Here is a 26,000-nt window from a genome sequence, read left to right as displayed (position 1 = left end):
TTTCATAGTATCTTGCAAACTGGGTAATTAGTTTTTAAGTACAAACTAAATTAAAAAAAATAACAATTTGAATACCTAAAGATAGTATCCTTTCTATATTATTTTCATTAGGATTTGGTATCCAGATAAGTCAAAACTCATTGGTTGAGTTGGTTGAGTTTGGAATTTTTCATTATTTTTATTTCTGAAAATTTTTATCTAATATGGAAATGGTATAGCCCTTACAGTTTTGTTAGACCTTTCTAGGAGTATTAATTTGCACTAGCATCAACAATAATTTTCAATAGTATTAGTCTATCTGGATGTTTTGACGTTTTTCAGTTAATGTTAACTAAATTGTTTAATTTAAGTTTTCAAATTTCCTGCATAAAGCATTTCATATAATTATTTTATAATATTTAATTGCTTCAGTTTCTGCAGCTATTGCTCATTCTCTAATTTTTCTATCAAACTTGTCATAAATCAATTACTTTTAAAGGGCCAGGTTCTGATTTTTAACATTTCTAAAAAGTTTTCTGTTTCTTTAACTTAAACTTTTAGGTTTAATAATTTCTTTCTACCTTCCTTGAATTTATTTTGCTGTTATACCTTCTTGAATTGAGCATTTTTTATTCATTTTCCTAATATGTATATTAGGAATCTCTGTAGATTCACTGTAACCTCTTCTCACAGGTTTTATGCTTCCTTTATCATCATTTATTTTTAAATTATTAAAGAACTATGTTAATGGGATAAGAACTGGCTAGTGGTGGCACTTGATGGCATGTTTGTGTGTATGTGTTTCCTTTGCTATTTTTTTAACTTTTATAAAACAGTTTACATGGCTTCTGCTTTTTAAATCTTTCTTTTATTAAAATTTTGTTTGGAAAATATTCAAACCGATAGATAACATCTTATGTATTTAAAAATACAATGTGGGTTAGATGCAAATATCTCAGAGTCACTCAATGCAAAAAACAGGTAAGTGACACCAAAAACAGAAACAACCTTGTTTGATATTCTTATGACAGAAAAAATTAGGATAATCTCATGGGAAGTCAAATAGCATAAACAATGAGAAATCAGAAAAAGTGCCTGAAAAGCATTTTAAATGTGTTGTTATTGTAGCCTCCACCCTCTTCAAATAGATGTGAACAAGATTCTTGTGGTTTCTCTTTTTTTCTTTTATCTGTGGTTTTGATTTTCTGTTTTGGTTTATTTTGTCTTTGCTGGTGAAAATTCACATGATCTTATTTCTTACCATATCTTCTAGGTCTGGTGGCACAGGAAGCATTAGAAAAGTGGACACTTTTGTCATAGAAGACAGAATCCATGCAAATTTGGGGGATCATATAGAATATGTGTCAATCACATGATATTTCTTTGGAAAACCATGCACATTATTTGGTAGCACATAATTAAGTTATCACCAAATATTTCCCCAAAATGGGATAGAGAAGGCTTTATAATGGATTGGTGATTTTTCTTTTTTACTCACTAATATATTTATATCAACAACATTAATTGAATAAGGAGGAAAATCAATTACTTTGAAGTACACAAAGAAGTTATTTCCATTTTCTCAGACCACACAAGCCTGAAGACAGAAAAAGAGTGTTAGGATTAGTAACAACCAGCATTATTCTGTCGTTCGATCCCCAGCCTTGTGAAGATACCTTTCAGAACTTGCAGTCACTTGCTCTCTTTCCAAGTCTCTAAGGACCAGCACAAGAAGGCTTACAGTCCCTTCTCTCAGTAGCCACTAATTCTTCAGGCCTCAGCTGCTCCTAGTGTTACAAGAAGTAGCCTCACCTGTTATTCAGGAAGGAGGAAAGCCAGCAGATCACACCAAAGGCTGAGTTCCTCTCATCCCTTCAAGCCCCTGGTTTTCTCCTGATACTGATCTGATGTGGCTAAGAGCCTCTGCCACCACTGTTGTGCTGGAGTCCTCACTGCACCTCACATGAGTTATCTGGAGCTTCAGTTCTCCCAAGCCAAAACGTTTCCCTTGCCAAGGTGGAGGGTTTCTCTCCCTCATCCTTTACTGCTATGTCTATTATCCTAATCCCAAAGAAAAGATGCCTTTTGCTCCTAACATGTTGAAGAGATTTTGTGTAAAAATATAATTATTTATTGTTTAATTTATGATGCAATATCCCCACTAAAACTCAACAGTGGACACGTGATCATTGGACTAGCATTACACACAATTAATGCGTTAGTCACCTCTCCTATCTGACAGCAAAGACATAGCTATGTATTAGACCAAGCCCACATACTCAATTCTCTCTTGCCAGGTTGAAGTTTTCCCATAAGGCCCCTCAATTCCTAATGCAAAGATATCCCTGGCAGCCATCTCATTCTTCCAGTGGTGCCCAGATAGTTCTGAATCTACATGGATTTGCAGCTCAGATAACTGAGGCCGTCCTTACAAAATACAGATTACATTTAATCTTCTGGAAAATTAGCAAAGAAAATATGTAATATGTAATAATACTATTTGATAAGCATTCAGTGGAAATTTACATACCACAAGGATATGAGGGTGCACAAAGCAGTGATTCATTTGCAAGGCTGGCTGATGTCATAAACCAGAAGAGGCGAGGAGGAGAAGTTTATGGGCAGTAGCAGTTCCATCTGAGTAAATTATGGCTGTGTATTCATTCTGGGACATTTACTACTTTCCCCCATAAATACAATTAATGTGCTGAATTTATTTTCAAAGCACAAAGCAGAGTTATAACTTATCTTAAAGTTTTTCAGTGGAGAAGCATATAAAACAACTTCAAAGGAAATTCTTTAGGGCTGGCTTATTGAAAATTTAACCAACATCTTCATTTTCCTTTTGGAGACTGTGGCACACATAAGCAGAATTTTCTTTCAGGATGTGGCACATTTTCAAAAGCAACAGACAGAAATTGGAGGCTCAATTCCTCTTTTCCCTTTATCATTCCTGTGTTTCCTCAAAAATCTGAATTTGACTCAAGAACGGTGCTTTTATTTTTGAAGGAGCTTGTCATCATGAATAAAACATACTTATAAGTAACCATAAGCCATGGAAATTTACTTAAATTAGTTGTCAATTATCTAAAAATACACAGTTGAAAGGGAACATTCACAGGAGTTTACCTGAAGTCTACAGGAATTTTCCAAGTTTATTTGAAACTCTAGATATCCACTAAAGTGCCTAACTTGCATTAATTTTATATTCTATAGTTTTCTTTAAAAAAAAAATAAAAGCTGTGAATTGTTTTCGCCAATTGAAAAGGTAAGAATACAGTGAAAAGAATGTCTTACAGATTCGGTCTCCCTTTCCCAACACACATTCTCTTTCCTTTGTCTTTCATACAAACTCAGTGTTCACTTCCAGTGTTTCCATAAAGAGGGCGGGGAAGTAGCGCAGGTGGGGAATGGGTCCATCAAGCAGTCAATGGAGCATGCAGGCAGGCCACAGACCAAGTACTTAAGCATCCACACAAAACCACATGGCTGTAAATTACTGTCATTACTTTCCAAAAGTTCCCGGGATTGTACAGGATTGCCCATGCAATCATAATTACAAAGCAAGCTGTAGTAATCATTAAGCAAACACTGCAACTTCTGCAGTCTTAAGCAAAATGCCTGTTTTCCTACCTAATGATCATGTGCAATGTAGAAATACCAAGTTGGAGGCAACAGCTCACATTTGGTTCTTAAGATTCAGAGGGTATTATGCTCTCTATGCGCCTCATCTTTCTCAGCAGTGACATTTGGCATGGTCATAACTCACCAAAGTGTTGAAACAAGAAAGAAATCAAAGTAGCTTTGGGGGACTTTCTAGTAAAAATACCCAAAGCACAGAGCAAGAGTTATCCATAGGATGAAGTCTTTACTTGGCACACTACTTGCAGGTGATATTTTAACTTGATTTTCATGGAAGAAAGCCGAGTTTAGAAACTGACATTAATGAATGCTTATCATGTGACAGGGTGCAAAGCTTTCTTCATATATTACCTTTTTAAAATCTTCACAACCCCCTACAACAGGTTAATTGTCTCATTTTATAGAAGACAAAACTAAGGTTCAGTGTGGGGCAATTATTTGCCATTTTCCATCATAAGCATGTGCAAGAATCATGACTCAACCCCAGGACTGTCTTTGAAGGCAGTGTTACTTTCACCTGTCCTATGCTGAGGAGAGAAAATCTAGGAGAGAACTAAAGGAAAATAAAATGTCAACCAACTTTTTTTTTTAAGATTTCATTTTAGAGACAAGGCAGTTTGCACAAATCCAATAAAACTACAACTATTATACAAACGAAAGACAATCAATCTAGCTAACACCTGGAAGAACACAGATGCAGAAGTCTATCACAGGTGAAGGCAAAACTTAACTCTAAACACAACATTTATTTACACGGCTTTATTGAGCTGATTTGCAAAGCACTCTTAAATGTGGGTGGAATGAAGATGAATAGGGTATAGCCCCTGCACTGCTTGAGTTCGGTGGATGGTGGAAAAGAACCAAACCAGAGAAAAATATAACTGGTATAGTTTTCAATTTCTCAAGAAGAACCCCTCACCTGCACTCTTCCTGCCCCTACAGCCCTGCTCCCCAAAAGGTGAACAAGCAGGCACTGTACCCTTGTGAAAATATCAAGTTGTAAGACATGGTGACAACCTCATGTTCAAGCTTCTGGGTGGATCCAAAGCAGCATAAAAGAGGAGAAGGATGCAAAGTACAAGCTAGTAATGAAGCACATCTTCAAAAATGTGGCACTGGATGCCAGCCTGCAACAAGACGAAACTGCCCCTAAGAGTCAAATCTCTATTTATTCCTTCCCTAACCAGCCCAGAAAGCAATTCCTGATCCATATGCTGTGAATCTCAGTTGGAGAAATAACTTTTGGCTTTCCTAAAGTATAAATGTAGCCACTTTCAGCTCATGCATAAGCCCTCACTCCGTGGTAATACATCTCCTGGATGCTTGGCCAGCCTCCTGCCCTTCGCTAGCCACCGTATGTCCCAGTGCCTGCAACACTGAACCTCCTGATTCCCCAGAGAGCATTTTATATACTGTTATCTACCTGCGTGTACTCCTAGACCCTTCTGTTTCCATCTCAGTGTTTAAACCACATCTCCAGCTTTATCAAGGCTGTTCTAATTCCTCTGGGGGGCGGGGGGTCTAGGTGTCTAGGTATCTGTGTTATTTTATTCATGATTTTCTTCAAAACACATTTACAAACACTGTGGGCTCAGCAGTGCGCAAGACAGTTTATTTGTTTATACTACAAATATGCAGACAAGATAATTGCAGACACAAGTCCTGTTAGAAAAATAAAACAAGACGATATAATCCAAGGTTTAAAATGTGGAGGGAAAAAAAATGGAGGGCAAGAGGTAGTGGTGGCTTGTTTCTCCTGGAATACTTTTCAGGGAAATGAAAATTCAGCTGAGCTGTGAACTACAGGAGCTTTCCCCCTGCCCACCTCCCCCCCTCAAAGAAAATGGAAAGTTGGTTTTCAAACAATAGGAAAAGCAAGTTCAAGTGCTCTATCACAACGTTTCTCAAACAGTACTCTAACTGCCTCCCTAATTACAGACTGAATTTTTTGTGGGCATGGCCCGTGCCTTATTCATCTTTGCACCACCAGCATATACCCTAGTACCTTGTAAGCTAACATTCAAAAATGCTTGCTAAAAGAAAAATGACAAAAATATTCCTAGCCTTATGAAAAAATGTACATGAGTGTCTATATATGAAACATTCAACATTGAAATGGGCATACAATATTCTAATTCTACAAATGTAAGAGTGTGGGGTATCTTGGCAGGACAGAGTCGGTAATGGTCTTGGGTGCCCCAAGTTAGATACGTTCATCCTACATTTCCTACATTTACATCTACTATCATTTGGATGATTGCATCTACTGATGTGTATTGGGGATGAGAAAACCTTCTGGAGGGAAAACAAAAAAAGCATTCCACCACAAACACCACAGATGTTCAGACATACCAGCCAATCTAATGGGCCAGAAGGGCCCAACCTAAGCCAGACTGTAGAAAGAGCCATGAGAGCTTTGAAAGAGAACTTACTCTAAGAGGAAACGAATTATGGCTCCCAGTACCCAGCCAACGCATGCATGTCCAAGGGAAGTGGTGGTTTCCGGCCATGAGAATCTGTCCTCAGCCAACAACTCTAGGGACACACAAAAGGAAGTGTTATACATATGAGCTGAAAGGACTCTTTCACTGAATTCTGCATTTTGTGACCAAAACACTCAGATATGGCAAATCCTAACAGTATAACAAAGAGCAGAAACTTCTTCTCTACATTTGTGAAAGCTAGGGGAGCTGCAACAGTATTATAAAGATTAAGAATAGCAGTGGGCCACAGTGACACTCTAGTAGAACCAGAAGTAACTTAGTTAGTTGGAACTGAGCTCCAGCCCAGCAATGGTGACAACCCTGCTATCAGGGCATTGGCGATGGAGACCTGGCTTGCTGGGTGCCACAGCAAACAACAGGAGTACTGAACTTGTAAAGGTATTTTTGAGTCTTCCAAAAAATCCCAGAAATTTTAGGAGGGAGAAAGCTATGCAAAGTATGTCTTTATATCCAAGTACATACAAATTTGTGAATATCGAAGATAATATTCACATTGAAGATAACCTTTACACGGTTCTGTAAAGGAGACTGACAGAAGGAAAAGTCAGTTTAACACAATATAGTTATTCCTAGGCTATAACATATACGAGATATTTCTTGTGTTCTAGCTTAATAAAGAGTTGAAATTTGGAGTTTAAATTACATTTTGACTTCTTAAATTAGTATTTCTCAGTGAATGGCGAATCTATGGAGATATATCTAAATCACCTAGGGAGCTTTTTCAAAATACATTTCCTCAGTTCTCCTTTTGTCTACAATTCTCAAACCTCATGATTCCAATATACTTCCCTTCCCAAAGCGCTGAGATAGGATATTTGTGTGTTTGTAATATCTACCTAGGTGATTCTAACTATACATTTACCCCATCGCCACCCATCTCCTGAATTGAGAACTGCCCTAATTGCTTGCTTGCTTGTTTTTGTTTTTGTTTTTGTTTTTGACTAAGTCTCGCTCTGTTCCTTAGGCTGGAGGGCAGTGGCACAATCTCGGCTCATTGCAACCTCCACTCTCTGGGTTCATGCAGTTCTCCTGCCTCAGCCTCCTGAGTAGCTGGGATTACAGGTGCCTACCACCATGCCTGGCTATTTTTTTTGTATTATTATGATGATGATGATTAGTATTAGTAATAGTATTTTTAGTAGAGACGGAGTTTCACGATGTTGGCCAGGTTAGTTTTGAACTCCTGACCTCAAGTGATTCACCCACCTTGGCCTCCCAAAATGCTAGGATTACAGGCATGAGCTACCATGCCTGGCCACTAATTGCTTTCTAACATCAGTTGCCTCAGCCCAGGCTTTGAATAAAACCATATAGTAAACCAGAATTGGTACCATTAGTATACACTTGAAGGGCAGGTGAGTTGAGCATGTTTCTGGCTGCAAGTAACAGAAAGCAAAATTGAAAATACCTTAAAATCAAAGGGTATTAACTATTACACATTAAAATAAATCTGAAGATAAAGTGGTTCTAGGCCAACAGCATCAAGAATGCAGACTCTTAACCTTCATCTAAGCCATCCATAGCACATCAACTCATCTTCATGGTTTCAAGACAACTGTGACAATTGCAGGTACCACATGCAAATGTAATATCATCCTAAGGAAGCAAACTATTTCTCCTTATGGACTTCTTTTTAAGAAATGTCACTGAGAAAAATCATTCAACAAGCCCTCTACCACATATGCCTTAATGTCTCATTGCTGGCATTGTAGCACAAGTACACCCACAGTACTGGTAAGGGAAGAGGCCCCATGACTGGTACAGCCAATCCTGACTGCTCAATCCTGACTAGGGTGCCAATCACCAAAGATTCTAATTTAGTTAAAATAGCATGGGGCTTGGGTTCTAGATGTGCCTGAGTTCCCCAGGTGACCCTAGGCCATAGTTAGTGCTGTATCAATCATGATTAACCTCTGGAATTAAGGCTTGTGATACCTCAAACAGCTGCCCGCACAGAGAAAGTAACTGAATAAAAGCAAAGCTGTGTTAAGAAAGAGAAAGAAAAAAAATGGCTATTAGGTGGGCCACAAGAAATACCAAAGGCATTCTGAGTTGTTCTTTGTAAAAAGGACCATGAGAGAGATGAGAAACTGATTTTTTTTAATTCTAAAAGATAAAGGATTTTTTTCCATTCGATTTCAAGCTTTTTACATTTCTAATAACTGAAAGACACCCATCATGAAATGAATATAGCCTCCTCAATGAAGCCTTTTTCAAATAAAAATATTGGGCCAGGCACGGTGGCTCAAACCTGTAATCCCAGCACGTTGGGAGGCCAAAGCACGCAGATCACGAGGTCATGAGTTCGAGACCAGCCTGACCAACATGGTGAAACCTCATCTCTACCAAAAATGCAAAAATTAGCCAGGTGTGGTGGCACATGTCTGTAATCGCAGCTACTCAGGAGGCTGACGCAGGACAATCGTTTGAACCCAGGAGGCAGAGGTTGCAGTGAGCTGAGATCGTGCCAGTGCAGTTCAGCCTGGGTGACAGAGTGAGACTCCATCTCAAAAAAAAAAAAAAAAAAAAAAAAATCTAATCTGCCCTTCCCCCCAAATAAAATCAAACCTTTAAATATTTAACAATATTTTTGATATCTGCTTCTGGCAACACTAGTAGATGACCTATGGCCACCATTTTGGTGATCTCTATGGGTAGCTCAAGTTTCCCCTTCGCAATCCCTATCATGCCCAGGGAAAACCGATGTTTTAAAAAGGTGTCAAATTAAAGGAAGGGTAGAGGGTATTGAACTTTTGGTGCTAATAGAAATGGTTTAAGCTTAGGACTGTGTGGAGGTAGTTTCTCTATAAGCTTTAATTTCATCAAATAGGGATCGTAACAATAGCCTTATTAGATTATAATGAGGATTAATTTAGATCAGTGGTTTTCAAACTGAGCACACATAAGGATTTCCTGAAGGGATAGTTGAACCACTGATTACTGGGTCCCACCTCTAGAGTTTCTGATGCAGGAGGGCTGTGGGTGGGCCCTAGGATTTGTGTCTTTATCAGTTTCCCAGGTGATGCTGATGCTGCTGGTCTAAAAAACAGACTTTGAGAACCACTGATTAAGATAACACAAGCAAGTTACTTGGCATAATTCTTGTTACATAGAAGAATTTACTTGGGAATAGAAGAATTTACTTGAAAATAGAAGTACTGAGAAGCAAGTAGTAAATATATTTTAGCTGTTATTATTAAGCTACATTTTCACTTATTCTTAATGCAAAAAATAATTATATTTTAGTTTTTTAATAAAGCATCTATTATATCATCTTTAATTCTGGCAGAGGGTTTGCCCTGAAGTTAGCCAGTTATCTTTCATAATGTAATTACAGCTCCATGTCAAGGCATGTAGGAGGTTTCACTGATAAGAGTTTTCTCTTATGACATATTTTTTTCAATAGTATATGAGTAAGTTGCTAAACCTATACTTAGAGAATTCTTGACTTTTTCCTTGCCCTGATTATTTTTGTATTTTAAAAAAACTAAACATTGACTTTACTGTTAGCCAACAGTTAACAGTTTATTAAATAATTGGACACTTCAGTACCTATTTCAAGCACTGATCAGGTATTCTGTGAAGAATCCTGGGAAGTGATAGTCCTGCAGAAGATGAACTGCAAAGGAATCACATTATTTTGTCTGTTCAATAATAATTTATCCCTCTCTTCAGCAGAGTTAATTGCTCTTCCAGATTAATTAGTTTCAAACGATACTTCTACAATCTTCAAATTACTTTCAAATCCATGATTTTATGTGATCCATACAGCCTTATGGCTTTATCATCACTCTAGCTATCTCACAGCTAAGAAAACAAAGAATTGAACTGCTTGTAATTTTATAATAAAATTTTGTTCAACAGTCAGTTGTAGAACGAAGGATGAAACTTAGGTCTCTGAAAGCCAATACATGCGTACAATGTGTACTCAGAGAGAGTGTTTCTTAGAACTTTTAAAAATCAAATGTCAGATTAAATCTCTTTGAGCATTTCACTTTACATTTGACAGCTCAGTTAAAACTGAAAAAACAATATCTGTCTATTATTGGAAAAATAATTAAATAATGAATACCTATTATTGAAAAAAATTAAAACCATACCCAATTCTACCCACCCAAAGAGGACCACTCTAACAACTGGGGGAATAATCAATCCCTTAAACTCCCCTCTCCATCATACTACATGAGACTAAACTGTTATGTATTTGAAGTTGTAGTTATTTACTAAGATATTATGATCATGTTTCCATGTTAAAAAATATGCTTGTTTTCCCCCAGCACAGTGGTTCGTTGTTTGAAAGCACAACCAACTGAGTGTTAGGTAATTCCCAAATTTTATTTTTTCAAAGAGTGCTCTAGTGAGTATTCTTGGAGCACAGTCTTTCCCACATCCTTAGTTATGTCCTCGGGAAAAATACCCGAAGGTGAAATTACTATGTCAAAAAGCATGCAAATTTGAAGTCTTTTGAGACATTTTGCCAAATTGGCCTCAAGAAAGATTGTACTAAATTACTGGCTGGTCTTCAACTCATGAGCACACCACTTCCCCTTTTATTGTTATTGCACACTGTTTATTTGGCTACTGGTGGATTTTCCTTGGCCAAAGCATCTTGTATTCTGTACTTCCACAAAAGAAGCCTTGAGTAGCTCAATAAGAGCACCTAAAAATCTCTTCCCATGAATAAAATTTTGGTATTGTAAAAATAAAATTGGTAGGGCTCTTTCATTTAACCCCATCATTTAAAAGCTCCACGAATACTTTCCACCTACACATTCCCACTGATAACCGCCAAACTTTACAATGGGTCACACGTTATTCTAAGTCCTATATGTGTGTCAAATTCTTTAACCCCATAATAACCTTTTAAGAAGAGATCCTATTGTTATTTCCTTTGTACAGATGAGGAAATGGAGGCATATCTTTGCCTGAGAACACATAGAAAGTAGTAGAATTGAAATATGAACCGAGGTTTTCAGTCATCATCGTAACAAAAAATAAGAAGAAACTGGAGCAAGGAAGAGGAAGAAGGCAGAATATGGGGGGAAACAGAGATGCTATTCCCAAATACAGAATGAACAATCCTGATAGTGCAAAATGAGATAATGAAAGTAAGGTTTGTATTTATTGTTCTTATAAAGATATAAAGAAAATTAAAATAACATGGTCCAAACTGGAACTGAAGGCACTGCTTAACCAGTTTCTAAAGCATTATTCATAAGCCTTGTAAAAAAGAAAACCAGACCTACTGGACTCAAGATCTTTTCATCAGAATGAATCATTTTAGGAGCCCCAGCATATAAAGGGACCGGTTTCATTTCTCTGTCTCCACCAATTTATGGCTCAAAGTGGGCAGACTAAATCACTTAAAGCTCTGATGGACAAAACTTATTTTCTTGACCAGTCATGTTTTTCAGGTCAGGAAACAGAACAAAATAAGTCATTATTTAAAAAATATCAGACAAGTTATTATGTCTACATTCAAATTCCTGGAGGAGACTGCAAAAGACTGCTCATTAATTGTGGCGCTGAAATTATATAGATTATGCTAAGCCAAATATAGCTAACCTTTGGGAACTTGAGTGCATTGCTGAGTAGAAGCACTTCTTGAAAGAAAATAAATAAGCAATGTAGCCCTGTGTTGAGATTTTACTGAGTTGCGTGCTGCTCAAAATTTGGGATAAATGAATAGTATGACTCATTAAAGCAATTTAGAGCATTATCAGGTCCTTCGCAAAAAGAGATTTTTGTTCAGAAACAGCAGATGCTACATGTTTTCTCCTTGTCATGGTTTGATTCTTCCAGCCCTCACCCAGTGTCAACACACTTTTTTCTCCAAAAGTACTGTTTTCCACTGACTTTTTCCCGCCCAGACCTATGCCTTCTAAATTGGAAATGCTTTTCTACTACTTCCTAATAGCACAACATCACAGCATTAACTAGATTTGGGGATGATTAGAAAGGTAAAGAGGTTAAGTAAGGTAAGAAGATTTTTTTTAAAGAGTAAACACCGTTTTCTGGTTTTGTTTTTCCTTAAACTTATATATGCCTCAGGTTTCTCCAGATCGTCCTCTCTTCTTCTTAGGGCTAACTATAGAAGGCAGTGAGAAAATAGCATACCAGAATAGGAGTGGCTGACAAAACAGAAGGTGTTTGTCCTGATGGATTCATTCTGATGCAGGAGAATGGCACATGTGTGGGCCCTGCCCCTGAAGAACATGTTGCTTACATGCATAGGTTCCTTTGGGGAGGGGAAAGTTAGACTTTCTTATCTCCTTGAAAGAAGTAGGTCATTCTAGTTTCTGATCTTGTTGCAGCCTCATTATTCCTCCTTAGTCTCATTCTGAAACAGCCTTTCTAATTTTTTTTTCCAGGTTTATTTCTTCTGCCATGTTTTCAAGAGCCAGTAACATTCTGAAACACACAGAAAATGTAAACCAGATGTCTGTTTAAGGCTACAGGCAGAAACATACAGTAAACTCTTTTTTTTTTTGCTTTTTTTTTCTTTCTCTCTTTTTTCTTTTTCCTTTTTCTTTTAAGCAGCCATAGACAACAAACTCAAACAACAGCAATGGAAATGATGGAACAGATGACAGAATGGCATAATATTTGAATGCAACATTCTTCCTTTCTTTTAGTTGAAGAATTATTCCAGCTAGTTTTACCAGGAAGCTTTGCCCCAAAGGAGAAAATAAATAAAAGCTAAAACTTCACGTAAGCCTTTCTAGGATAGTCAGTAAAATGGCTTAGAATATAAAATAAACAAATATTGAAAACATGCTAAAGTGTCGTGTTAAATGCTTGTGTATCCATTGTGAGCTTTCCAAAGTAAACACACTGTTCAATACAAGCCTGTCAATTCCCAGGATCATATTATTTGTTGTTTTTACCAAAACATCTTAAATAAATTGTGCTATTATTAACATCTGTTTACAAAAATGTTTCCTTTCAAGAGGAATCCTTCAAAGATACCTAAATAATTGATGAATCAGGTTCCACTAACGTTTGACTTGGGCCAGACACACAAGCTTCTTGAGCATCTTTGAAATGTCTAGGAGCTTAGTTATGAAATACAATAAGACTTCAGTAACATTGTGTGTGGAAAGGCGAATGTATTTAAATTATAAGGTTTTTATTGAAATTTAGTTTTGTTATCACGAGACATGATGTATGCATGAATAGTTATCACCATGTCAAAATATTGCCAGCTTTTATGAGGTCCATTTTAACTGTGCAATTATTTATGGGGTTCAGTTTAGGTTCTCCCTTTCTTAGGTCTTATTTTCACTCAGTGAATAAAATCTACATTTTAGTCTGAGTAACACAGAAAGTTGTCATTTTATAGGAAAAAGATTAAAAAATAAAATGCTATAATATCACGGGTTCTAGCCAAAAGGTCAACTTATTCACATTCATATCTGCCTCTCTCATGATTATTACATGGAGAATATAATCAGCTATAAAATTATAAGATGATTCCCCACCTCTTCGATGCAAAGGCTTTGAGGGGCAGGCATGTTAGGGTCTCATATCATCACCTGCATTATTACACTAGTGGATTGAGGAGAAAGATATAACCTAAGTAGCCTTAGAATTCCAGAAGATTGTAATAACTTCAAGAAGTGCTCATCACTCAAGAACTTCAAAAGCTAAAAGTTAATTTTCATAAGCAGGAATTTGGATATCAAGCATCATCACCAAACCAAGTCTGAGTCAAAAATATTTCTTTGTTAAGCATGTTAAAGTAAGCAATATTATTTTGCATGCTACACACGAGCAAAGGTGGAGGTACAATTTACACGTCTATCTTTTGAAGCTACTTGAAACCAAAGTGGCTACTTAAAACCAAAGATCTTTCAGAATGAATAAAAAATAAGCCTATTAAGGTTCTTCAAATAAATTAGCGCAACATGTGACCTTTAATGAAAGATAAACTATTGCCAATAGTGAAATACATGTGATTACTTACAACTTAGAAGAGATAGAAACCTGGCTCAGGTTACGTCTGCCTTTCAGCAGATATATATTATGAGAATGCTTGATAACTGCAATTAGTTATTCAGTTTAAAGAATTTTGAACTGCCCAACCTAATCACCTTCTCTGTTTGGAGAATCTGTCAATAGTGTTTCCCACATAGGCCCTGTGTAGAGGAGGTAGGCCAGAGACCCCAGGGAATGATAGTGCCATGAAACTCTTTCTTAAGTACATATCGATTTTTTATTTTATTTATCGACCAACATAATACTTGCAGAAAAATTATATTTTCATTTAAGAAAAAAGAGAACTCATCAAATTTTTCTGGAAATGTGTTCTTGAAGTTAGACATGGAAAACTAAGAGCAATACTAACAAATATGATCATGGAATAAAGGGAGTCATTCCAATGTCTTAAGAGAAATCTTGCCCTTTCAGAAAGGACCAGCCAGGTACAAAAGAGCCAGACCAAACTGGCAGGAAGGGTTTTTGTGTTCTGGGATAGCCAAAAAGTGATTATATTCTTGAACAATTTTATAGCTACATGAAACTTTTTCAACCTTCTTCCCATTATCTTTGTCCCATTACTTTAACTTCATTGTTCCCTTGTCACTGGCCAAAGATCAATTGTTTATTGCCTTGAGAAGAATTTGGAATGTGCAACTGAGTTTCATATTTGGAAAAGAAATTATATGAGCAAGGAAGTCAAGGGAAATGTGATACAGAAAATTCTCACCAGTTTGGCTTCTGCCTCATAGAACTTCCTGGCTTGTGTTTTAGAAACTGCAAACCCACATACAAAGGTGTAATTGGCTCTGCTCTAAAGACAAATTTACCTTCCCAAGCATACGACCCAGAAAGATTATTTCCAAAATTCTTAGCTCTGGAAAGCAGAAAAATTGTTGTAAAGAGAATGAATTTAATATTTAATGTAAACAGCTCCTCCCTCAGGATATATATTTTCATAAAGACACAGTAAGTCATACATATATGTAGCAAATCCTTATTTACTCAACATTAAGAGGTAATCTGTCATATTTCTTATACAGAGTCTGACCCCAATAAGCACCAATGCTTTTTCAGCCATTTGTTTAAATAGCTAAATGTGTAATATGTTTATATTACACACTTTCCTACCTTCTAAAACATAAATTTTCTTGTCTTTTTATTTTTTAAGGTCTTTGTCATCAATTTTTCTACATTGACATGTTAGAGGCCATTGAAGAGAGTAGAGTTAGATGCCTTTACACTATATATCCCTGGAAAGCAAAGCAATGTTGTTTTAAGGATTTTCGCACTCAAAACAGCACAACTACATGGAAACTGAACAACCTGCTCCTGAATGACTACTGGGTAAATAACGAAATTAAGGCAGAAATAAGTAAGTTCTTTGAAACCAATGAGAACAAAGACACAACATACCAGAATCTCTGGGACACAGCTAAAGCAGTGTTTAGAGGGAAATTTACAGCACTAAATACCCACAGGAGAAAGTGGGAAAGATTGAAAATCGATACCCTAACATCACAATTAAAACACTAGAGAAACATGAGCAAACAAATTCGAAAGCTAGCAGAAGACAAGAAATAACTAAGATCAGAGCAGAACTGAAGGAGATAGAGACACAAAAAATCCTTCAAAAAATCGATGAATCCAGGAGCTGGTTTTTTGAAAAAATTAACAAAATAGATAGACCACTAGCCAGACTAAGAAGAAGAAAAGAGAGAAAAATCAAATAGACACGATAAAAAACGATAAAGGGGATATCACCACTGATCCCACAAAAATACAAACTACCATCAGAGAATACTATAAACACCTCTACGCAAATAAACTAGAAAATCTAGAAGAAATGGATATATTCCTGGACACATACACCTCCCATGGCTAAACAAGGAAGAAGTCAAATCCCTGAATAGACCAATAACAAGTTCTGAAATTGAGGCAGCAATAAATAGCCTAACAACCAAAAAAACCCCAGGACCAGACGGATTCACAGCCGAATTCTACCAGAGGTACAAAGAGGAGCTGGTACCATTCCTTCTGAAACTATTCCAAAAATAGAAAAAGAAGGACTCCTCCCTAACTCATTTTATGAGGCGAGCATCATCCTGATACCAAAACGCGCAGAGACACAACAAAAAAAGAAAATTTCAGGCCTTCTCTAATAGTAGTTTTTTTTTTTTTCAAATCACCATACAGGCCAAGTTGTAATATTTCCTTTACTATATGGGCATCTTTCTTGACTCTGTTAAAGTATAACAAACCATTCTCTTTCTAATTGGTTACTTTTGATCTGCTGTAATCTAAGAAACCAGATTAAAAAAAAACTGGTAAAAGTAAACTTAAAGAATAAATAGATGCTATATAAGAAGGTTTTTTTGTCTGTTAGTTTTTTGTTTTGTCAAAGACCATAATATTTTGGTTGATCAGAAGACTTTGTAACCCTTACCTTTAGCTTATTGACTATTCCTTGATCAGTAGAATGTGTCATTTAAGCAACTTGGATATAAGTGAGATGTTGTGTGGCCTATATAAGTGAGAGTTGTGTTGTTACTTGAAACAAATTTCATCATTCCAGTAATTTTTAGTCTTAAAGAAATCCAGCAGCAGATCTTTCCAATCGTGTTGCACATATATTTCTGACTTCAATGACCTTTCATCAGCAAACCAAATTAACTTGAAACAGAACACATGTAGTATGGATGAAGTGAATGATCTCACACATTCAAAAAAAGCCAATGTCAATGTTTACCTTCAGGTCATACTCTGAATTGATGTGTGGTTAATCCTGTGCAAGTTGAGCACATAAACCCACTCGCATCACATGAACACACTCATGAATGCACTGACCCTCAGAGGCCTGTGTGGTTTGTTATCCTAGCAACTAAATCCAGTTTCCTCTCCTAACCTGAGTACACTCAAGACTGATTCTCCTCACTTTCAACATTCTGTGCATAATATGTTGTCTAGACGTTGCTCTGTTATTGGATGTTACTATGAAAAGCAGAAGATTCCTGAGGCTAACAAATAGGTGATCCCCTCAAAGCATTTTGGCAAAATGAAGAAAGCTAAACAGAGCAGTGTTTTAGACAAAAAAAAAACAAAAACTATCTATTATTCCCTTGAAGAAAATTCAAAATCTCGCTCTCAGAATGTATTTTTACTGTATTCCTTATTACAAACAGCTCCTTGTTCACATTTTCCCCTTTCTTCTTCATTTATTCTTTTAAAAAATATTTATTTTTAACCATTTGAGCATCTTGCTACCTTCCAGCCAATACTAAAAGTAATTTCAGTTAATGGGATGATTAGCGACTACATCATTACTCTAGGGAAAAAAGTCAAAAACATCGCACTGGTGATTATTATCATTCCAAAAAAGGAGAAAACACACTTAAAAAACTGCTGAGTTAGGCTATAATCTTTATTGCTTAGACAGTTGCTGTCCAAGCAGAGATCTGCTCATCTACTTTTTTTCAATATATATTAAAATCTTCGTTTCATTTTCATTTCCAAAGATTATGTCTAATCAGTAACCATCTTGGAGCATAGAAGACAGATATAATCCATCTCACATGCTTATCATTAGGCTGGGATTGGTTTTCATCTGTTCCAAACTACTCTTGTGTATCTCTGAGATGAGGAGGAGATATTATCTCCACTGATGAGAGAACAAATGGATTTCAAAGCTCTGAAATACTTGGAAGCATGTAGAACTAACTCTGGGTTACTCATAAACATTTTAATATTATCATAGATTTCATACACTAAGAGATTCAATATCTGCATGTAGACACAGAAACATTCTGGATACTTTTCACATCTTCCCTCTCTCCCCATTTCTATCCCTTCACTCATCTACTAATATGACTAAGACATAGATATTAACTTTGGAGGCTTAAATTTTAAACCTGAATTTAGAGAATATCAACTTTTTCTAATGCTCCATTCATTCATCAAACATTTATCAAGAACAAGGCATACAAACTCAAGAAAATGGTTTGGAGATGTTGTACATTCTGCAGTAAAAGGTGGGAATGACCCAAAAATGGGATCGACATTGGAAAATGTTTCAAAATAGGCTTTTTCCTTTTGTAGTCTCCTCATCTTACCTGATTTTCTCATTATATATATTACCCACTCTTCACCAAATACTTATTTATCCTTTCTTTAATAAATATGTTTCCTCTAAAGCTTTTGCCCAATATTTAATTTCATTAGACCAAAATGTTATGCTCACCAACTGCCTCTTCTCTTGCTTTTTTTTGCTCTTTCTTAACTTTCCACTTCTTTGTCCTTCCCCTTCTTTCCCATTCACTGTGTCTTCCCTTGGTATCTGTCTCTCCCTTTCACTCTGTTTAATCTCTATTTCTTTTACATCTTTGGTAGCAAGACAGAGGATCAGCACATAGTGGGAAGACTTTTGGAAGAAGGAAGGAGAGAGAGGAAGGAGAGAATCAGCTCAAACTTAACCTGAATTTTTCAGCCCAGGATGTCTTAATTCCTAGACGCTTTGCTTGCAGCCCAGCTAAGCTGCAGGACACATAGAATAAAAAGAATGATGTATCAGGAAAGTGAAAGTATGATAAAACAGTTTTTGTGATATTGTCTTTTTCTGCTCTTTTTGGGTTTAAGGAAGTAGAAGGCAGAAGTCATAATTTTATGACTGCGCTTGTTTTGTAAATGCAAGCTTGGAATGGAATTGGACCAGCTCCCATCATCTTGGAACTAATTAGTCTTTTTGGTTTCCTTTTATGTGGGATCGTCATCATATTCATCAAATATTTGAGTCCAGATTCCTCCACAGTGACTGTATATTCCTTTTTGTCTATTTTTCAAAGAGCCACCTTTTATTTGTAAGGCCTGCCAAAGCTCTCTCTTCTGGATTCTGTTCTCTGTGGCCAGATCCCTACTGATAACCTCCAGTGCAGGTCCCTCCTGTGATGCTTTGGCCTGACAATGACTGAATGGTCCTTCAGCATCCAAGGTCTATTAATATTATTTTCCCCTTCCCTACTTTCCTTTCTTTGAAATTTGCCAGTTGTTTTGAGTCAAGAAAGAAGCTACTAATACAGCTAATTGTGTTCATATACCTCATAGAACTAAGAAAATCACAGTGTGCTTCATCACCTCAGAAACAAAAATTATCAAGTTGTGAGATAAATTAATACAGTTAATAATCCCAATAGCTTTGATTAAGGACATTCACTAACAGAGGCATTTCCTTCTACTTAATCATCTTTTCTTTGCATTAGTATGTTATTTCTGGCAGGAAACCCAAGGATTAAGTTGCTGTATTTCCCTGCTTAATTTCTTAAGTATTTCCACCTGGACTGGATTTTTTGAAGATTAATACAAAAAAGTCAAAAATACCTTGTCTCTCAACAAAATATTTGGATCCAAGAATGGACTGAATTTCTGAATACAGCATTAGAGAAACTGAAAGTATCAGCACAATATTTTTAGAGCCATGTTCATTTTAATCTTCTGTAAGTCTAGCTACCAGAAACATCACGGGAGCCAGCCCACCAGCCTTCCATAGTGCCAGTGTAACTTAGAACTGGTTCTACTAAATTGCATGTCACTCTGCTTTATCAGGATGAGATAAAAGGGAAAACTGTTTCACTGCTTAACTCCAAAGAGGAAAATCACTTATCAAAGAGATGGTCAATTTAGGTCAATTAGGTGAGAAATTACTATAGCCTATATTTTTTCTCCTATTGCTAGTAATTGTGGGTATTTTGTCAATTGTTAATGAAACTGAGATTTGGCTTCTTAAATTTGCTTGTGCTGCATTCTAAAATATTGTTTGAGGATTTGAAGAAATCCTTAAGAAAATTAGAAGTTTCTTAAGAAAATTAGAAGTTACTCTTATTTGAATGGAGAACAGCTCTGTTTAATTCAATAGTAATTCTTTATAATGAACTATATTTCCATTAGTGTCCTAAAATAAATCTTAATTAAAGATTAGTCAAAATAGACCAGAATCCTTAAAAGAAGAAGGATAGACAAAGGATACTATCTGTAACCACAATCTTTTATATCTCTGAACATTACAGTAATACTAAAAGAGAAGGAAACGATTAAAGTTGCTGACTGAGCCTATTCAACTTCCTCTGAATATATAACTAGCTACATACTTAAATAAGCTCATATTTCAAAAATCCATAATAGCATGACTAAACAAGAAATATTGTCAATAGTGAATCAGAAATTTGGATAAATCTGTGAAAAATAGAAAACAAGATAAAGTTGGGGAAAGAAACCACGGCTCAACCACATGCAGATGGGGACTGTGAGGCTGGCCCCAAGGATATCTCAGACTTTGTGGTACTATTGTCAGGGATTCTTAAGAGGGATGCAGGACAATTATTGGAAATGGGAAGTATAGAAGTAAATGTGCTGCTTGGCATCTCTCTCCTTCCACATTTGTGTTGAGCAACAGGTAGCAAAAGCACATGTTCATAAAGCAAAGCAGTAAGGATGAGAGTATCACACTTAGTTTTAAACTACCAGAAGGCAAGCTATGGGTAAAACCCACACATCATAGCTCTCACCTGACAAACACCACATTCACTGTAGACAACCACTGGGAATCAGAAGAGCTTCCATCAGCTGAGGAATAGAGGGTCTCAAATACAAAAAGAAACAGGCGATTGAGAGTCACCACGTGGCTCAGGAAAAATAACACAATGAAAGACAAGCGCAAACAAAACAGCAGACACAAGAACACTGCTCCCTGAAAAGTTGCAAAGATACATAACAACAGAATACTTTAAAAAAAAGAAAAAGGTAATTGATATCTTCAGAGAGAGTTGAGAAGATAGTGTACTCAAGAAAAGAGAACAATTAGAAATGTTAAATTTTTAAAGTATATTTATCAAAAGTGAAATTAGCAAATGGACTAAAGAGCAGAATAGAACAAAATCATAAATGGAAAGCTAAAAACTATAAAACATTGATGAAAGAAATTTTAAAGGATACAAAAAATTGAAAGCTATTTTATGTTCATGGATTGGAAGATTTAATATTGTTAAAATTTCCATACTAACGAAAGCAAGCTACAGATTCCAAGTAGTCTCTATCAAAATACCAATGACATTCTTTCTAGAAATAAAAAAAAAATCTGAAAATTTATATGGAACCACAAAAGACCCAGAATAGCCAAAGCTGTCCTCAGCAAAAAGAACAAAACTGAAGGAATCAAATTACCTGACTTCAAATTATACTACAGAGCTGTGGTAACCAAAATGAAACAATACCAGCATAAAAACAGGCACACAGACAAATGGAACAGAGTAGAGAACCCAGAAACAGATCTATAAATCTACAGTGAACTCATTTTCCATAAAATAAACATAAACTGGGGAAAGGGCAGTCCTTTCAATAAATGGTGCTGAGAAAAAATAGATATGCATATGCAGAAGAATGAACCTAGACCCCTATCTCTCAACATATGCAAAAAGTAAAATCAAAATGGATTAAAGACTTAAATCTAAGACCTGAAACTATGAAACTACTACAAGAAAACATTGGAGAAACTCCCTAGAACACTGGACTTGGCAAAGTTTTTTTGTGTAATAACCCACAAGCACAGGCAACCACAGCAAAAATGGACAAAGGGAATCATATCAAGCTTAAAAGTTTCTGCATAGCAAAGTAACAATCAATGAAGTAAAGAGACAGTCCACAGAATGGGAGAAAATATTTGCAAACTATGCATCTGACAAGGGGATCATAACCTGAATATGTAAGAGGCTCAAACAACTCAGTAGGAAAAAAAATCTAACAACTGAATGAAAAAAAAAATGGGTAAAAGGTCTGACAGACATTTCTCAAAACAAGACACACAAATGGCAAGCAGGTATATGAAAAGGTGCTCAATGTTACTGATCACCAGAGAAATGCAAATCAAAACTAAAATGAGATAAAATCTCACTCATCTAAAATGACTTTTATCCTGAAGACAGACAATAACTAATGATGCTGAAGATGTGGAGAAAAGCGAATTCTCATACACTCTTGGTGGAAATCTACACTAGCAAAACCACTATGGAGAACACTTTGGAGGTTCCTTGAAAAACTAAAAATAGAACTACCATATAATTCAACAATCCCACTGCTAAGTATATACCAAAAATAAAGGAAATCAGTATATCAAAGAGATATCTGCACTCCCATGTTTGTTGCAGCACTGTTCACAATAGCCAAGATTTGGAAGCAACCTAAGTGTCCATCAATGGACAAATGGATAAAGAAATGTGGTATGTATACACAACGGAGTGCTATTTAGACATAAAAAAATAATGAAATCCAGTCATTTGCAACAATATGGATGGAACCAGAGGTCATTGTGTTAGGTGAAACAAGCTAGGCACAGAAGGACAAACTTTGCATGTTCTCACTTATTTGTGGGATCTGAAACTCAAAACAATTGAACTCATGGACATAGAGAGTAGAAGAATGGTTACTGGAGGCTGGGAAGGATAGTAGGGGTGGGGAAGGTGGGCATGGTTAATGGGCACAAAAAAATTGTGCCTGTATCAAAATATCTCATGTACTCCATAAACATATACACCTACTATGTACACATAAAAATTTTTTAAAAGAAATTGATGAATCAAATAGATAAAAAATATAGACTTAGATTAAGAAGATAAAGTTGATTTACTAGAGATAAATAAAACTCTCTCTTAAATCTACTTAAAGGTAAATATATTCTAAGGGTAGAAAGAAAGAAAAAAATTATTTGCTTCCTGAAGTTTTGCAATAATTTCTAATGATCCAATGCCATGCCCCTCAAAACCAGAAACATCACATTAAAAATATAAAAGTAAACAAACATGAAGAAGCTTAAATTATAATTAGTATGATCCTAGAGAATAAGGAAATGACAAAATAATCTATCCAAAATCCTATGTTTGAATGGCTCCTCCAGGGAAGAAAATTTGCATGAATGTGCACACACAGACAGGTTATCTTTTCTAAAACATCCCTCATAGAATACAGTGTTATCTTTGTTATGTTACTATTTCCTACATGAAAAGAAAATATTGCCACAAACAAAAATCCTACATAAAATCAGAATATTTATGATAAAGCAAGCCACTTAGAAAACAACCAGGTTTTCTGGCAAAAGCAGGAACAGAATAATGGGTGATGATACAACTGACATGTCTGGTACGATTTATAGCCCCAAACTGCCCCAGCACGATTGATCTGGACTCTTTTTTTCCCTACAGCAGGATTTGAAGTGGTGAGATCTTATCAAAATTCCAATTGTGCAAGTTCTTATTGAGGTCAGTGGATATTAAAGGAGAAATTCAGAGAGGTAGTCGGGAAATAAACAAACCTAGGACTCCAGCTATTTATATTAGGTCCCCCTGATTGGGTCTCCTTCTCTAGGCCTCCCTGGGGGAAATGGCTCTGTAGCTTTATAGGGCTTCTGCATTGTAGGAAACAGAGACCTTGAAATGTATGCACTACCAGAATGATCTAGCAGGAGGCTCACTGATTTTAGGTCAGTGTGAGGGAAAAGAAATGGGATGCACTACTGAGGTGGCTGGAAGAAGTTGCTTGCTTTACAACTGCCCGAGTTCCTTAGCTCTTATGGCTTTTGTCAACTAGGTTGCCTAGAAGAGTTACAGGTGCAGCAGTTCTCTTTAAATTCCAGATGACAAAACAAGACCATAATGACTGGTCAGATGAGTGTGGATGGCAAATGGGAAAGCCTTTGCTTGTGGTGATGTCTTTCCACACAAATACATAAGTTAGTTGCAGATGCATTTGATTTTAAATTCTCAATCAGTTAATAATATGAAAGCATTTTTAAAATTCTGAGTTGGTTTTAATATAGTAAACAGAAGTATATATGATATATGCATAATACATAATATAGTAATATTAAGTATGTACACAGTTTGTTTTAATTATGCCACAGGGATGAGAAGTAAGGACAACCTTGTTCATAAAGGCAATCGATTTAAAGCAATGCCAAAAGTTGTGGAGTACTCACTGGGGTCTCTTCAGGTGAGTAGAAAGTTCGGTCACAATAGAATAGGCTTGGAAAAGCCATATCTCTGCAATCGTACTAGCAGTTTTATGAGAAACGAGAATCTTTACTAATTATGAACTTGTCTCAGTTTCTCTAACCATAAGATGTGTAACATAATTCTCAGAATCAAGCTGAAAAAAATTTTTAAAATACATGGGAAATGTAAATAAATACTAATAATGAAGCGTCATTAATTAAACCATTATCCTTAAGTGAAATCACCAAGGAATAACTATAAAACCCTTTGAGCAATGTCTGTTTATCAGGTAAGAGTAAAATCCATTCATATCATTGATATTTGTGGTTATTATATTAGCTTAAATTATACCAGGAAAGGTTACTGTGTTATGTGAAGAAAAGCATGAAAAGAATACTAATAATCCAATTTGGGGACTTATTAAAAGGGGAGATTGAATAAAGTATAGAAGCATGAAAAAGTATATAGGTAAAGCCTTAGTGTAAGTTATCAAGAATTCACAAAATTCACATTCAAATATTTCAACAAAAATAAAATTTGTGACTAGAAGAATATTTCATGAGACACAAAAGGAATATACCTAGGAATGGCAGAAATGATAGGCAAAATAATCTAATACAAAATGAAAAAAAACCGTAGAAGGCTATAATTTGGTATATTCCAGTCAGCTTCAGTCAAATTCTAGAAAGTCTGGGTAAAGAGAGTGATCTCACACTGAAAGGAAAATCTTGAGAGAAAATAATTTGCTATGACATGTATAAAGTGGAATGCTACCAGAACAGGAAACATCTCAAAGTAGGTTTCCAACATTGATCTTCCTATTTTCTTCTTTCCATAGTCATCTAAGTTCCACTTTGAAAATTCAGTGATATATCATGGCCATAAAAACGGGAGACTGTTTTCCTAGAAAGAAAAATCAACACTTCTTCATTCTTGCAATTGGATTCATTACTCTGTCCCACAATTTAGACAGAACAGACTGGCCAACTGCAACCATTCCTACCAGCAGCATCTCTTCTCCCTATTACATTTTTGTTCTCTCCTTCCTTTAATACGAGATACATTTTGTACAAGAAATGTCACCTGTGACCTTACCTTAAGCAGCTAGATGATTCCATTTCCCCAACTCCCCAGACTTCTACTTCCCTCCCCTAGCCCCCATGTGATGGTGTGCTCTACACACTCCAGTATGTTTTACAAATGTTCTTTATTCTGCAAACCATGTTGATCCATGTTAGAAAATACCACACTGTTCTTGTCAAGCTTCAGCTGTGGCTCCAACACCAGGGTTAGCATCATAAGATTTTCTTTTAAAATGATGTGAGGTAGGGTAAGAATCGAATGGAAAGTAATTAGCACAGAAATTTGTCATCTCTTCTACTCTCATGGAGACTCATTCCCATCCCTTCACAGGGAGCTGCACTGATATTCTCCACACATATGAATCCAGTACTAGAGCAGCTAAATAACTGGCCAGCTCAATGCTTAGGGCTTTTGTTTGACAAAATCAGGGTGTTTTACTCTCTTTTGGAAAAAGAAATTGTCCACAGTCATGTTTGGTATCTTACTTTTACTGCAGGGATAAGGACTGGAAGTTAGGATAAGGTAAGAGTAAATGTTAGGCCAAAGGAAAAATGAAAAACAGAAAACAGAATATAGTGACACTCTGTAAACTGCTGGCCCAGCTTACATGTTTCTTTCTGTTTTCACTTAAACCCATTACTGATAGCAAAGATTGGAGTAGCTTAGAGAGAAAATAGTGAGTAGCTTAGAGAAAAAATAGGAATTGTTCATGAAGGAAACCTTAGGTAAAAGGCTCCCTGGTTTATTCAGAATGGTATGGTTTTCAGGATGAAAAACTGAGTGTCAA

The 26,000-nt window shown here is 36.1% G+C and overlaps 1 long non-coding RNA gene across 2 annotated transcripts in view, besides 2 other annotated features; it reads right to left on the bottom strand.

Annotated features, from left to right (window-relative positions):
- LOC105374140 (uncharacterized) overlaps positions 1 to 26,000 on the bottom strand; it is a 266,957-nt gene that overhangs the window by 208,548 nt on the left and 32,409 nt on the right. Inside the window, exon 3 of one of the 2 annotated variants that reach the window (XR_001740941.2) lies at positions 6,054 to 6,156. The exons of the other annotated variant lie outside the window; for it this stretch is intronic. This is a non-coding gene — a long non-coding RNA (uncharacterized LOC105374140). The remainder of the gene's footprint in view (positions 1 to 6,053; positions 6,157 to 26,000) is intronic. 2 annotated transcript variants of the gene reach the window in all.
- Positions 5,942 to 6,091: an enhancer, noted in NCBI's record as "active region_20667". NCBI's record gives its function as "activates an Ori minimal core promoter by ATAC-STARR-seq in GM12878 lymphoblastoid cells {active_cell/tissue: GM12878}" and the evidence as "EXISTENCE:reporter gene assay evidence [ECO:0000049][PMID:35858748]".
- Positions 6,142 to 6,221: an enhancer, noted in NCBI's record as "active region_20666". NCBI's record gives its function as "activates an Ori minimal core promoter by ATAC-STARR-seq in GM12878 lymphoblastoid cells {active_cell/tissue: GM12878}" and the evidence as "EXISTENCE:reporter gene assay evidence [ECO:0000049][PMID:35858748]".

This window comes from Homo sapiens, chromosome 3 (assembly GCF_000001405.40).
Source record: "Homo sapiens chromosome 3, GRCh38.p14 Primary Assembly".
Taxonomy (NCBI): Eukaryota; Metazoa; Chordata; class Mammalia; order Primates; family Hominidae; genus Homo; species Homo sapiens.
Note: the sequence above shows the minus strand (reverse complement) of the source record. Positions and strands in the feature narration are given on the sequence as shown.